General features: G+C 37.6%; 1 long non-coding RNA gene across 1 annotated transcript in view; it reads left to right on the top strand.

The window, feature by feature from the left end:
• Window positions 1-7389: 7389 nt before the first annotated feature.
• LOC101928362 (uncharacterized) overlaps window positions 7390-15128 on the top strand; it is a 169017-nt gene continuing 161278 nt past the window's right edge. The window contains exon 1 of the long non-coding RNA XR_001749028.1: window positions 7390-7451. This is a non-coding gene — a long non-coding RNA (uncharacterized LOC101928362). The remainder of the gene's footprint in view (window positions 7452-15128) is intronic.

Raw genomic sequence — 15128 nt, forward strand, 5'->3', positions numbered from 1 at the left:
GTTGGTACTAGTTCAAGTGGAGGAGGGGAGGGCAGGCTCTGTGGGTTGCAGTTATTCTGAGACTCGACTATGGAGGCTCTGAAACGCTCACTACAAGGCATCTGAGATCACTTTGATCAAGGATATCCAACTGGCAGAAGACAGAGGATAGAGAAGGCACACTTGCTTCTTAAACATCTTGGCTGGAAGTGATACGTATCACTTCTGCTCACATTCTGATGGCGAGAACTAATCACATCCTTTCCTTAACTCCTACCCCATATGCAACAGGGGCTGAGCAGGTATGGCTTTATGGTCACGTGACCTGTGCAGGACAGGGCCCCACACTTAGAAGGGTTCCATGTTTGGTTTAATGCTCTGCTATTACCACTTGAAATTCTTAATACATATATTTTTAAGGAGGGGTCTGCATTTTTATCATCTTTATTTTGTACTAGTCTGCACAAATCATATAGCAGAGCCTGAGGCTTTAACAGGGCAGCCCCTTCTCAATATCATCTCTACCTTATGGAAGATGATCATGAATATTTGGCAGACAGCCAGTAATCTCTGCCACCCAAGTTTAAAATTTCCATGTTTGAAACATATGAGTCAATATCTTAAAATATTCATTATTTAATAATCCCCAATAGTCAAATGAGAAGAGTCAAAATGAAGTGCTGGTAAACTTAATGCTTTTCCGAATCACAGAATGCCACCAGCTCAGCTAGTAAAAAATTGTAACAGGGGCATATCGTAATAGATGGGCATCTTCTGCACATGGCCCTGTGAAAAGGCAACATGGCGCAGATATATGTGACAACTGTAACCACATGCCAGTTTTTCTAGTACTTTGGCTTAAAGAAATATTGAATTGAGTATACATTATATGTCTATGCTTGGGATACCACAATTAAGATAGACCAAAAAAAAAAAAAAACCCTGATTCATAGCACTTATATTTTATGCAATTCTTTTATATTTTAAAAACAGCTTTATAGAAATGTAATTGACATACATAAACTGCCTACATTCAAAGTATATTATTTAACTTTCATTTAAATATAATTTAGCATATGTATAACCTGGAGACATCCTCTCCCTACCTTATTTAATCCCCAGACAACCATTGATCCACTTTTCATCAATATAGATTTCATTGTATTTTCTGGAATTTAATATATGTGTACTGTTATTTGGGGTGGCTTCTTTTTCTCAACATTATAGTAATAGTAATTTTTACATTTTGGATTCAGAGGATACATGTGCAGGTTTGTTTCATGGATATATTGTGTGATGATGAGCTTTGGGCTTCTAGTTAACCCATCACCCAAGTAGTGAACATTGTACTCAACAGGTAATTTTTCAACCCTCACTCCCTTCCCAACATCCCCACTTTTGGAGTCCCCAGTGTCTGTTATCTCCATCACCATGTCCATGTGTACCCACTGTTTTAGCTCCTACTTAAAAGTGAGACCATGCAGTATTTGGTTTTCTGTTTCTCTGTTATTTCACTTAGGATGTTGTCCTCCAGCTCCATCCATGGTGCTGCGAAATACATAATTTCATTCTTTTTATGGCTAGTATTCCATGGTGTACATATACCACATTTTCTTTATCCAATCAACCATTGAAGGAAATTTAGTTGATTCTATAACTTTGCTACTGTGAATAGCACTGTGATAAACATGTGATGCCAGGTGTCTTTTTGATATACTAATTTCTTTTCTTTTGGGTAGATACTCGGTAGTGGGATTGCTGGATCAAATGATGGTTCTACTTTTAGTTCTTTGAGGAATCTCCGTACTGTTTTCCATAAATGTTGTACTAATTTACATTCCCACCAACAGTGTAAATGTGTTTGTGGTCCGCATTCTTGTCAACTTCGTTATTTTTTGACTTTTTAATAATAGCCGTTCTGACTGGTGTAAGATGGTATCTCATTTTGATTTTAATTTGCATTTCTCTGATGGTTAGTGATGTTGAACATTTTTTCATATGTTCGTTGGCCATATATATGTCTTCTTTTGAGAAATGTCTGTTCATTTACTTTGCCTACTTTTTAATGGGGTTATTTGCTTTTTTTCTTGTTGATTTGTTTGCGTTCCTTATTCTGGATATTAGACTTTTGTCAGATGCATAGTTTGTTAGATTCATATGTCATATGCATATTTTATCCCATTCTGTAGATTGTCTGTTTACTCTGCTGATTGTTTCTTTTGCTGTGCTCTTCAATTTAATTCTCATTTGTCTATTTTTGTTTTTGTTGCAATTACTTTTGAGGTCTTTCTCGTAAGTTCTTTGCCTAAGCCAATGTCTAGAAAAGTTTTTCCCAGGTTTTTTTTTTTTCCTAGGATTTTCAGTTTCAGGTATTATGTTTAAGTCTTTAATCCACCTTGAGTTAATTTTTGTATATGGATTTTGTGTAGGGTTAATTTTTATATATGATAAGAGAGTTAAATTTTGTATATGGTAAACCTTTTGCTTAAGGCTAGCCAGTTTTCCCAGCACATTTATTGGAGTGTCCTTTCCCCATTGTTTATTTTTTTTGACTCTGTCGAAGATCAGTTGGTTGTACATATGAGGCTTTATTTCTGGGTTCTCTGTTTTGTTCTATTGATCTATGTGTCTATTTTTGTACCAGGACTATGTTGTTTTGATTACTATAGACTTGTAGTGTATTTTGAAGTCAGGTAATGTGATGCCTCTCGTTTTTTCTTTTGCTTAGAATTGCTTTGGCTATTTCAGCTCTTTTTTGGTTTCATATGAATTTGAGAATTGTTTCTCTAATTCTGTGAAAATGACTTTGGTAATTTGATAAGAATTGTATTGAATCTCTAGATTGCTTTGGGTAGTATGATGATTTTTAAAAATATTGATTCTTCCAATCCATGAGCATGGGATATTTTTCCATTTGTTTGTGTCATCTACAATTTCCTTCATCTGTGTTTTGTAGTTCTTCTTATAGAGCTCTTTCCCCTCCTTGGTTAAATGTATTCCTAGGTTAAATGTATTACTAGCTATTTTATTATTTTTGCAGCTATTGTAAATGGATTTGAGTTCTTGATTTGGTTCTTAGCTTGAGTGTTGTTGTGTAGAAATGCAACTGATTTGTGTATGTTAATTTTATATCCCAATAATTTACTAAGGTGATTTATCAGGTCTAAAAGTCTTTTGGAGGACTCTTAAAATTTTTCTAGGTATAAGATCATGTTATTAGTGAACAGAGATAATTTGACCTCTTCTTTTCCAATTTGAATGCTTTTTATTTATTTCTCTTGCCTGATTGCTCTGGCTAGGACTTCCATTATTATGATCATAATTATCTTGATATTCCTTCCTGTTGGTACATATATCAGTAGTTCATTTTTTGTATTATTGAATAAAACTTCTTTGTATGGATACTTCACATTGTTTGCCCATTCATTTATTTGCTGATGGACATTTAGATTGTTTCCAGTTATTGACTATTACAAATAAAGCTGTGAACATTTGTGAAGAGTTGTGTGGATATAGGCTTTCATTTCTTTTATATAAATACCTGAGAGGAGAATGGCTAGCAGGTGTATGTTTAACTTTTTAAGAAATTGTTAAACTTTTTCAAAGTGGTTGTAACATTTTACATTTTTCTGGCAGTGTACAAGAGTTCCAGTTGCTCAACATCATCAGTATTTTTAATTTTGGACATTGTAATAGGTATATACTATATTTAATTGTGGTTTTAATTTGCATTTCCTTAACTACTAATGTTTAAGATCTAATACATTTTTATTATTTTCGCTTTAAGTGCTATTTTTTGGGGGGGGGATTTTAATAATAATAAAAAGATGTTATATTTAGCTACATAGTTTCTAATGCAGTATTTCAGCTTTGTGCACCTAAATGAGTCTTTATTTTGCCTTCATTTTTTGGAAGATATTTTTGCTGGGTATAAAATTCTAGATTGACAATTTTATTCTTGTTATTAAAAAGTACTGGGTTGGGTGCAGTGGCTCACACTCAGCACTTTGGGAAGCCCAGATGGGGAGATCACTGGAGGTCAGGAGTTCGAGATCAACCTGGCCAAAATAGCAAAACCCTGTCTGTACTAAAAATACAAAAATTAGCCAGGCATAGTGGCACACACCTGCAGTCCCCCCTACTTGGGAGGCTGCGGTAGGAGAATCGCTTTAACCTGGGAGCCGGAGGTTGCAGTGAGCTGAGATTGCACCACTGCACTCCAGCCTAGGTGACAGAGTGTGACTCTGTCTTAAAAAAAAAAAAAAAAAAAGATACTGTTCCACTATCTTCCTGCTTGTCTTGTTTCTAATAAAAGGTCTGCTGTCATGTTATCTTTGTTCTTCTGTATATAATATGCTTTCCCCCACCTCTGGATACCTTACAACTTTTTCTTTTTACTTTTTTTTTTTTTTTTTTTTGTGAGACAGGATTTGGCTTTGTTGCTCAGGCTGGAGTGCAATGGTGCCATCATAGCTCATGCAACCTCAAACTCCTGGACCCAAGTGATCCTCCCACCTCAACCTCCCAAGTAGCTGGGACTACAGGCACATACCACCATGCCTGGCTGATTAAAAAAAAAAATTTGTAGAGATAGGTTCATGCCATGTTGCCCAGGCTGGTCTTGAACTCCTGCCCTCAAGAGAGCCTCCTGCTGTGGTCTCCCAAATCACTGGGATTACAGGTGTGAGCTACTGTGCCTGGCCAATTTTAAAAGTTTATCCCTCATTTTGACCAAATTAATTATGATGTTCCTTGATGTATTTTTTTTTAATTTTTATTGTACTTGGGATTCATTGAGATTCTAGGATTTGTGGGTTTATAGTTTTTATCAAATTTGGAAAAAAATTGACCATGATACCTTTAAATGTTTTATCTGCCCTTTCTCTTTTGTAGACACCAATTACACGTATATTAAGCCAGTTCAAGGTGTCCCACAACTCACAGAAGTGCTGTTCATTTTTTTAGCCTTTTTTTGGTGTGTGTGTGTGTTTTTTTTTTATAATTTCTAATAGTATTAGTCCATTTTCACACTGCTGATAAAGACATACCTGAGACTGGGCAATTTACGAAAGAAAGAGGTTTAATTGGACTTACAGTTCCACATGGCTGGGGAGGTCTCACAATCATGGCAGAAGATAAGGAGGAGCAAGTCACATCTTACGTGGATGGTGGCAGGCAGAGAGAGAGCTTGTGCAAAGAAACTCCCGTTTATAAAACCATCAGATCTTATGAGACCCATTCACTATCATGAGAACAGCATGGGAAAGACCTGCTCCATGATTCAATCATCTCCCACCAGGTCCCTTCCACAACACATGGGAATTACGGGAGCTACAATATGAGATTTGGGTGGAAACACAGAGCCAAACCATATCACTAATTCTGTGTCTGAAAATTCACTGATATTTTCATGTTCATCATCTCATATGTTGTTGTTGCCATGTGTTGTATTTTTCATCTCAGTCATTGTAGTTTTAGTATCTAGAAATTTGATTTACATGTTTTTATATTTGCATGTCTTTGCTCAAGCTTTCCTCTAACTTAGTGAACACAGGGACTACTACAGTTAAAATAACTGTTTCAGTGTCCTTGTCTAGTAATTCTATTACTTGTGCTATTTCTGGGCAGAGTTCTATGATGGGGTATAATTCTTTTACACTCCAGGGAGAACCACTGAAGACTTTCAGACCTCTCTTTGTCTGAAGCTCTCTCTTCTCTGGTACTCTGCACTATGAATTCTGGTTGCCTTGGCCTACAGAGACTTTTAGCTCTGTTTCCTCAATTCAGGAACCCTTCTGGGCTTTTCCTGGGTTTTTCTTTCTTGTCCTACAGCCTAGCACTCTCCAGTAAGTAGGTTGGTGCATTCATAAGACTCGTATCATTTCTTTCCCGTCTCTCAGTGATCGTTGCCCTTAATTTTCTGGTATTCAATGTCTTGAAAACAACCTTCTCGTATATTTTGTGTATTTTTTTCAGCCAAGGGTTAAGTCTGATTCCTGGTATTCATCTTAGCTGGAAGTAGATGTCTCTATGTCATTCTTTTTTTTTTTTTTTTGAAATAGGGTCTCTATCTGTCGCCCAGGCTGGAGTGCATTGGTGTAATCTTGGCTCACTGCAACCTCTGCCTCCTGGGTTCAAGTGATTCTCCTGTCTCAACCTTCCGAGTAGCTGGCATTGCAGGCATGTGCCACCACGCCTGGCTAATTTTTGTATTTTTAGTAGAGATGGGGTTTCACCATGTTGGCCAGGCTGGTCTTGAACTCCCGACCTCAAGTGATCTGCCTGCCTCGGCCTCCCAAAGTGCTGGGATTACAGGCGTGAGCCACCGCACCCAGCCTCTTTGTCATTCTTTACTAGAATCTCACCACTGCCACCACAAAAAGAAAGAAAGAAAAAAAGACCTGGCAGAGAATTCTAGGAAGTCAAGGGGGGAATAATGAGGACTGCAAATTCCTTGCACATAGTTGATAATAAATGTTACACAGATTAATAGATACAGTACTGTGTTTGGAGGAAATACTTCTGAGGAGAAATACAAATGAGGACGACAAGCAGGATTGCATATTTGCCTTCTTCATACAAATATTGTTGGTGGGGATAGGAGAAACAGAATCTTCAGTGAGGTCATTTGCCAAATACTGCTGCTTTTGAAAGCAGCAGTGGCAAGTGCGGATTTCAGTGAAATGAAGGATTACTATTTGGCAAGATGGGAACACTTCAATTTTTCATTCTAATGTCTTCACAGGAATAAAAGAAAATACATTTCAGCAGATACTAAAAAAATGAAGTGAAATTTATAGTGTCTACTATATAAAATATCTTTGGATTGAGATATACAGTTTGTGAAATAATGTCATAGCACTTCAAACACCAGTTTCTTGTTGTCCTGATTGTACCCTGAAATTTCCTCTTTTCACCTATGAAACAACATTCAATGTAGTGATGTTTGGGGAGAGCCCAGTGTGTCAACACAGAACATTATATTAGCTGGGTGTAATGAGGAATCTTGTGGCCTGAAATAGGAGACTGCTGTGCCTATCAGCATTACTGTGAGCACATTATTCTCCACATAAAGCTGGGGGCCACTGTGAGTTTGAAAAGAAAAAACATGGGCTAAGCCGACTGAGTATTATATAATTCTTGAAACACGAACTGTCCTGCACTTTTCTTTAAATCCACTTAAGTACCTGCAGAGCTTTGAAGAGGGATTTTAATGACTTAGTGCAAGAACTGTGTGTAGAATTAGCATGTTTGAAGATTTTTTTCCCTCCTGCTTTAAACTATTGAATAAAGGACACAATAGTTTCTAGAATGAGATATTGAGATATGTGGCTTATCGACATAGCAAAAGTATGTACTGCGAGGACTGTTTTAGACCATGGGAATGTAACTTTGTTATTGTCCCTTACAGGGGCTTCCTCTCCACTGACTTCTGCAACATGGCCCATGTCACTGAGCTGGCAACCAAGAGGGTGAGCTAAGACCATGGTTTCTGTATAGTGGATGAGAGATACTGGAATCTACTCTTATATGTCTTTTCAAATTAAAATAATTTTAATTACTGCTATATCATTTAAGAATTCTGTCTCTGCTACACACAGACAACATGAGATGGCTGCAAACATCCTCTGGTACATCCCAAATTGTCCTCCCCTTGCCATTCATCTGCTTTTGTTAAATTTTGCTATCCCATTGTCTTCTCAACATGCAAATATTCCAGAGAGAGTTATCACGGATTTCACAAGGACGGTTTGTATCAAGTCACTTTTCCTGTTTCACAAGAGAGACTGGTCAACATGAAAGGCTTGAGTGCCTTGGGAGAGGGAGAAATAATAGAAGGGATGAGGAAAAGGAAGGCAAGCACCAAAGATATCTCCTACTTAAGAATTTTGCCAAGGAGCAAAATACCATCATTCATTCATTCAATTCAACAAACATTTATTTAATATAAACAAGCAAGTTATTAATTTATATCTCTCCTTGTAACCAAAATAATTATTGTCCTGTCTGCTGTGGACACAGACCTAGTTCCCAGTGTGGACATGACATAGAGAGCAAAGAACAATAGGTTACAGAAAAATATGGAAGGCTGATCATTGTTCAAAATATAATGTGCTGTATAATGGATGTATCACAGTTCATTCACATTTAGAGGAAAGGAGAACTCTAGGAGAACAGGAGTAGACCTTGATAAATAACCAGAAGTGGAGACAACTAGGTACTATCATAGAGCCATCATAACTGAAATATAAAATGCAGGCAAAGGAAAAATTTGGGTGGAAAATAACGAGTTCCGTTTTAGAAATACTGAGTTTGAAGACAATGTCCAGCTAAGGAGACAAATTTCTAGACTGAAAGTTGAGATTTTGGAATTATCTGTTTCTAGGTGGTAGTTTAATATTTTGGTTGATGGGATTGCCCAGGAAGATCAAATACACTGTAAAGAAGGTCAAGCACAGTATAACAACTTTAATGGGTGGCACAATGAATATGGAAAAGACTGACTTGGGAGGTGGAGGCACAGAAAGTCAAGAAAGAAAACAAAGGTCAGTGATGTGACAGAAAACAAGAGGGGAGAACATTTCATGGCGATGGGAAAGGATTGTCACTGGTGCCAAATGCTTTTTGGTTAGTGAGTTCCAAATGCTTTAGGGATTAGTGAGTCCACTCTAAAAATTGGACACTTGGAGGGCAATTCAAAGAGATTTAGCGATGTCACGTGTTGTGGAAGGTATCCAGGGGGAGGAAATTCTTTCCCCAGTCTTTTCCATGCTATTCTCACAATAGTGAATAAGTCTCACGAGATCTGAAGAGTTTTTCAGGGGTTTCCACTTTGCTTCTTCCTCATTTTTCTCTTGCCACTGCCATGTAACCTCAGTGGGCTGAAGAGAGAACATCGGGAGAAGAAGGATAGATATTAAGTGAACTCTTTCAAGGCAGGTTAGCTGTGAATACATTAAACTCCTCCAAAATGTGGTCTCTGGCCAAGAAATTGCATTTTGTTACTAAGTAAATTATCACAGATATGTAAAAAGAAGTACATCTACAGATAACTCATCATAGAATTGTTTATAAGAAAAAACTGGAAACTTTGATGTGCAACTGTAAGGCATTGGTTAAGCAATTTAGGATTCAGTCATGAAAAAAATATACAACCCTTAAAATTATGTTGAAGAAAATATACAGACATAAAAAATGTTTGTGAAATATGTTTTCTAAGACTTCTGATTGGGACTGTAGTCATTTTGTAATTTGAGGAAAGTCATTAAAAATGCACCTACACCCAAACTAAGGTTGGCTATGAATAGAGAGAAGAGATAAGGTAGTGGAGGGGAATCAGTCAAAGAATGGTTTTTATCTTCATCTTCCTTCCCCTCCTCCATCGTCTTTCTTACTTTTTAATTAATTGGAGACACTTGAACATGCTTATTTGCTCCAAGGAAGTAGCCATCAGATAAAGGCTTAAAAAATATATTGGGCTTGCAACAGGGAAAAGTAAGTGAAGAATTAAGTTTCATCTGAATTTGAGAAAAAATCAAATTCAGAGGAGAGTTGATGTGCCTAATGCTAAGCAAGAATGAAGACAGGATGGGGAAGAAGAAATGTAGATGGGGATATAAATGGGTGTGTAGGTGAGGGACAGGAGACGAAAAATCTGAGGAATGTTCATTCAGTACATTTTACTTTTTATGTGAAAGAAAAAGCTAGGTCACCCATCCACAGACTATAAGTGGGGTAGGGATGAGAATGAAGACCTTAGAAGTGTTGAAGTTTAGGAATATGATTATTTGCAGAGAATGGACAAGGACACATTAGTCTTATGGACGTTAACTTATAATGCTTGCCTTGTTTTCTTTGACATTGATACCACGGTAAGTCACAAAATGGGGAGCAAAATGTTAGCATGTTAATGAGAGGAATTCGTCTGCATAACTGTGTGAGTGAATAAGGTCCTGCCTCTTCATCTTATCACAATCGCTAACATGTATTTATGGAATTCTCATGATCAGGGCACCGAGGAAATTACACCAATGATGAGCTATAGTGCCCTTCCTTACGGAACTTACATCTGGTTGGGGAAAAGAGTCACAGTCACTTGAAAAGTTAACTACATTTCAAGGTAATTTTGCCATAAGTGATGAAAGTGGCATAAAAAATCAGACAGATGATTGATCACTTACAACTGGAGCGGTGAAGAGAGATTTCATATAGTTTTTACATTGCCTTTGTGTAGTTATTTATTTCCCTTTTCCAATAGAGTAGGCACTGCCATATTCATCTTCAACCCCTACCGTATTTCCTGGTACATGACAAGCACTTAATAACCATCACTGAATGAATAGACTAATGAATAAGCGAATAAACAAATCAAGTTAGACTTGAACAGGTGAAAGGGATAGAAATTCATTACAGTAGGGTTATGGTCACATAAAAATAAGGAATAAAGGAGAAGATAAAATAAAATCGCATTCACTGAGTATTTACATGCCAGATATTATATTATATTATATTATATTATATTATATTATATTATATACGATTTTACCTATATTATTAACTCACTTAATTGTTACAGCAACCCTGCAAAACAGGTATAAATATCCACCACCATAAAGGAATTAAAAAAGGAATTCCAGAGAGATTAGCTAACTTGCTCACACAGTGAATAAATGTCAGCAGTGGGACTGGAGCCTCTAGGCACAAGGCTTGGCCTAGGGCAGTGAAGAGGTGGGTTTCCACATCCTCCCTTCCAGGGATATGGCTGTCTTTAGCTTGACTGCAGTACATTATGTTTCTCTACCTTTAGTGTCCTGTAACTACTAGTTACATCTCAGAACACAGTTGAGTTGATGGCCTGAGTCCCCACTGCCCAAGACATCAAGTTGAGACTTTGGTATGACCCCTGCTTGTCTCTCCAGACGTATTCTCAGCTATCTTCATTAATTGATATCCATGCTACAGCTTTCCCGAACTCTGCTGGCTCACTTGCCCTGCTCCTCTTTCCCTCATGCAATTCTCTGTTCCCAAATGCTCTTCCTCATCTTGGCATTTATTCAGCTTTCAAAATATCACTCCATGGCTACTTCCTCTTTTCCTAATTTGTAAATGATAATGGTTGCATAAATTGATGTTTTGTCTTCCTAAGGCTCCATCATATTCTCTTTTTTCCCAAATAGTGATGCTGATGGATTCGTCTTTCTCCTCCCCTAAAGAGGACTTGGCCAAAGTGCAGTTTAATATTTCTTTATCTTTTATTTAAAAAAATTATTTGTTGATTGATATGGTTTGGCTGTGTCCCCATACAAATCTCAACTTGAATTGTATCTCCCAGAATTTCCACGTGTTGTAGGAGGGACCCAAGGGGAGGCAATTCTCTCGCCTGTCTTTCTCATGCTATTCTCGTGATAGTGAATAAGTCTCACGAGATCTGATGAGTTTATCAGGGGTTTCCACTTTTGTTTCTTCCCCATTTTTCTCTTGACACTGCCATATAAGAAGTTGCTTTTGCCTCCCGCCATGATTCTGAGACCTCCCAGCCATGTGGAACTGTAAGTCCAATTAAACCTCTTTTTCTTCCCCGTCTCAGGTATGTCTTTATCAGCAGTGTGTAAACGGACTAATACATTGATTAATTTTTTTAAAAAAATATAAAGACGAGGTCTCAGTATGTTGCCTAGGCTGGTCTCAAATTCCTGGTCAAATCAGAGACAGTGCTGGGATTACAGGCGTGAGCTACTGTGGCTGGCCCAGTTTAATACCTCTACAGCTACAAGTGGCCTCTCTACTTCAATATTGTGAAACACCAGGGAAATTTGGACACTTGCCCCAAGGCTATGATTCTGAAATTTTGTTCCTTTGGTAACTATGGAACCTCTTCCCCTCATCCCATGAGATAAAGAGAAAGGAGAATTGAAGTTATGCGCATATATATATATATATATATATATATATATATATATATGTATGTACTTTATGTATATATATGTGTGTGTATATATATATATGCACTTTATTCAGAGCCCATACAATTTTTCAGTTTCGTAAAGTTCTGGAATTCCTGAGCTCTTCTCCCTACATCCTATCCTGTGTCTGCTTACATTTTTATCCATTTTGGGAGTGTCTGCTAAGCTACTTGAGAGGAACAGAAAGGAAGCTTCTGCAGGTTCTGCCCAGGGGTGGTGGCCAGAGTGCAGCTGTGCCGGCCCCCTGGAGCCTGAGAGGCTGGGAGGGAAATGCTGGTGCCCTGAGAGAGGCTTTTTCTCAGGAACAGCGTGAAACGACACCCTTGTCTAGCTCCAGGGATTAATTAGCACTGCTTTGAAATAAATCCTTTACAAGAATTTTACTTCTCTGCAACAGGAAGCTATTTTTGAATTTGGATCAATTTACTATTATTAAATGAGACTAAGGATGGTCTTCTTCCATAGTCCTCTTATTCTGAATATAGCTAATGACTTCAAAGCCATGCATTAATACCATCCTTACTTTCATAGTGGTCAGGCCTTGCCTCTAGGTCCTGGGTGAAGAAGGGAGTGCTTATGGTTTGAGTATTTGTCCCCTCCAAATCTCATGTTGAAATTTGATCTCCAGTGTTGGAGATGGGGTCTAGTGGGAGGTGTTTGGCTCAGGAGGCGGATCCCTCACGAACGGCTTGGTGCCGTTCACGTGGTAGTAAGTGAGCTCTTGCTGTTTGTTCCCGGGACAGTGGGTTGTTAAAAAGAATCTGGCACCTCCCCTGCCCTTGCTTTCCTCTCTTGTCATGTGATCTCTCACACACTGGCTCCCCTTTATCTTCTGCTATGAGTGGAAACAGCCTGAAGCCCTTATTAGAAGCAGATGCTGGTGCTGTGGTTTAGCTTGCAGAATTGTAAGTCAAGTAAACCTCTTTTCTTTATAAATTACCCAGCCTTGGGTATTCCTTTATAGCAATACAGACTAAGACAGGTGGCAACTATGGTCTTTGCTACAGACTGGGCCTGGAGTTAAGTATTTGTGGTGCTGATGGGGGAAACTGAAGCTGCTACATAGTTTAACCTGCCTCAAGTTCAAGGATGTTTGGGGGCGGCCCTGTTTGCACTCACCGAGATAGGCCAGCAGGGGAAGGAGAATTGTTTCAAGAGCTCATAGGAGACTCTTTGCGGATCCCCTACTCTATAATTAGATGGCAGCTGGAAGAGAGAAGAAATTACCTATGGACTATGGGCACACCCATAGTCCACCAAGAGGGGATTCCCAGCTCGTGCACTCCGTCTCCAGATCTTCCAACTCTCCCTCATGAGTGCTCAGAAACTCCCTAGGGAGCCCTTAACCTGCAGCTTTCCTGTCATCTTGCTCTAGCAAAGTGGTATCAGAGAACATTTGTTTCTGACTTCTTGTACTTCATTAATTTTTACAAAATCTGATAAAATTTCTACTGCTTATCAAAGAGAACAAATGTTGTCTTCCAACAGGCACAAAGGCCAAATCAGGATGTGAAGTTAAAACACGTGTCAAAATTACATCTTTACGTGTTCATTTATACAGTTGTCAAGAATCTACACCTATTCCTAAAATCTCTGTGTACTGATAACAATTAGTAGCCATAAATAACCTAAATAAGTAGCCAAACTTTTTGCTAAAGGTTCAAATTTTGTTTTGTTTTGTTTCTTTTTGAGTTTGGAAAATTGAGGGACACTGGAAGCCCCTTTTCTATATAGAATATATTCCCTAAATTACAGAAGTGCAGTGAGTAAAGATAACTTGTACTATCCAGGTTTGCAGGAAGGATTAAAGAAATAAAAGTAAAAACTCAACATCATTTTGGCTACGTATTTGTTTATATTTAAGATTATTTATTTAGGATGTGTTCTTACATATGAACTTGTATACAAGTAGATTAAAAAATTGATAAATATTGCCAGATTGCTTTTACGAAAGGTAGAAACAATTTATACAAGAAAATCTTATTTTACTTAATACTGGATTTTATTATTAAACAATTATTTAAAGCCAGTGAAATTTATATTTGGAACTTTGAATTCCAAGAGTTCTATTGAACTTCTGTAGAAATGCAAAACAACAGCTTTAACATTTGCTAGGGCAAAGTTTTAATATTACGCGTAAATCACAGCACAGTTCGATGTACTCGAGTTCAATTTATTTTAACACACTTATTGAGTCTCTTCCATGTTCAAGGGACTGCACTATGCCTGGAGGCAAAAAGGTGGATAAAATGTGGTCCCCTACTCGGAAGCAGTTCCTAATAGTGTGGAGGACACCAGCATGTAAATCAATGATGAGAAAAAAGCTAAAGAATGATAAAAATAACAATAATAATCAACATTATAAAGTGAGAAGTATGTTCCACAGTCCAAGCATTATGTCTTAACATGCAGAAATGTAAAACACCCCTGGAGAATTAAATCCCAACACATGTTCTATGTATTTATGCAAAAAAGTGAATGATGTGGAATGATTGCAAACACAGGAAGTATGATTTTTTTTTTCAACTGTCTCAAGAGTATGAAACCCGATTGTTACAAAGACATCAGGAAGTCCATCTTGAATTGCTATCTAAAGCCCCTGCCTCATTCTTCTGATGCAATCTCAAGTAGATATCAAGTTAAAGAAACCATTTAGCACAGAGAAGAAATGTCACAGAAAAATCTTGAAATGTTACTGATTTTTTAAGAATGGCATAAATATCATCTGTAACATTTATCCCCAGAATGGAAGTGAATGAAGGATTACTCAGAACATATGAGAATGTCATCATTATGCAGCATTGAACAACATGGAGTGAATAAGCAGGAGACAGTAAACTTTAGTCAAAAGGGGACTCTGTTCACCACTGGGTTCCTAAGGCTTTGCATTCAATAAGTGTTGATTGAATCAGTAACAATGTTGTGATAATAGTAATGTGTTGCAGCTTTTCACATAAATTGAATTTTGATATGCATAGAAAATATTTTAAAGGCCAAATTTCTAGATTTCTTTGAAAGTTTGAAGCAAAACTCTTCTTCAGAACATAGGCTCAAAAGGTAGAGCAAAGTGAAATGCAAGCTTCTAGAGACAAAGTATGCTTGACACATAGATTGACTGAAGAGAAGCAAAATGGTTGAATTGCTCTTGGTAGTGGGTCACTGTCTAGATCTTCCTTCAGGATGGAG

This window comes from Homo sapiens, chromosome 12, assembly GCF_000001405.40.
Source record: "Homo sapiens chromosome 12, GRCh38.p14 Primary Assembly".
Taxonomy (NCBI): Eukaryota; Metazoa; Chordata; class Mammalia; order Primates; family Hominidae; genus Homo; species Homo sapiens.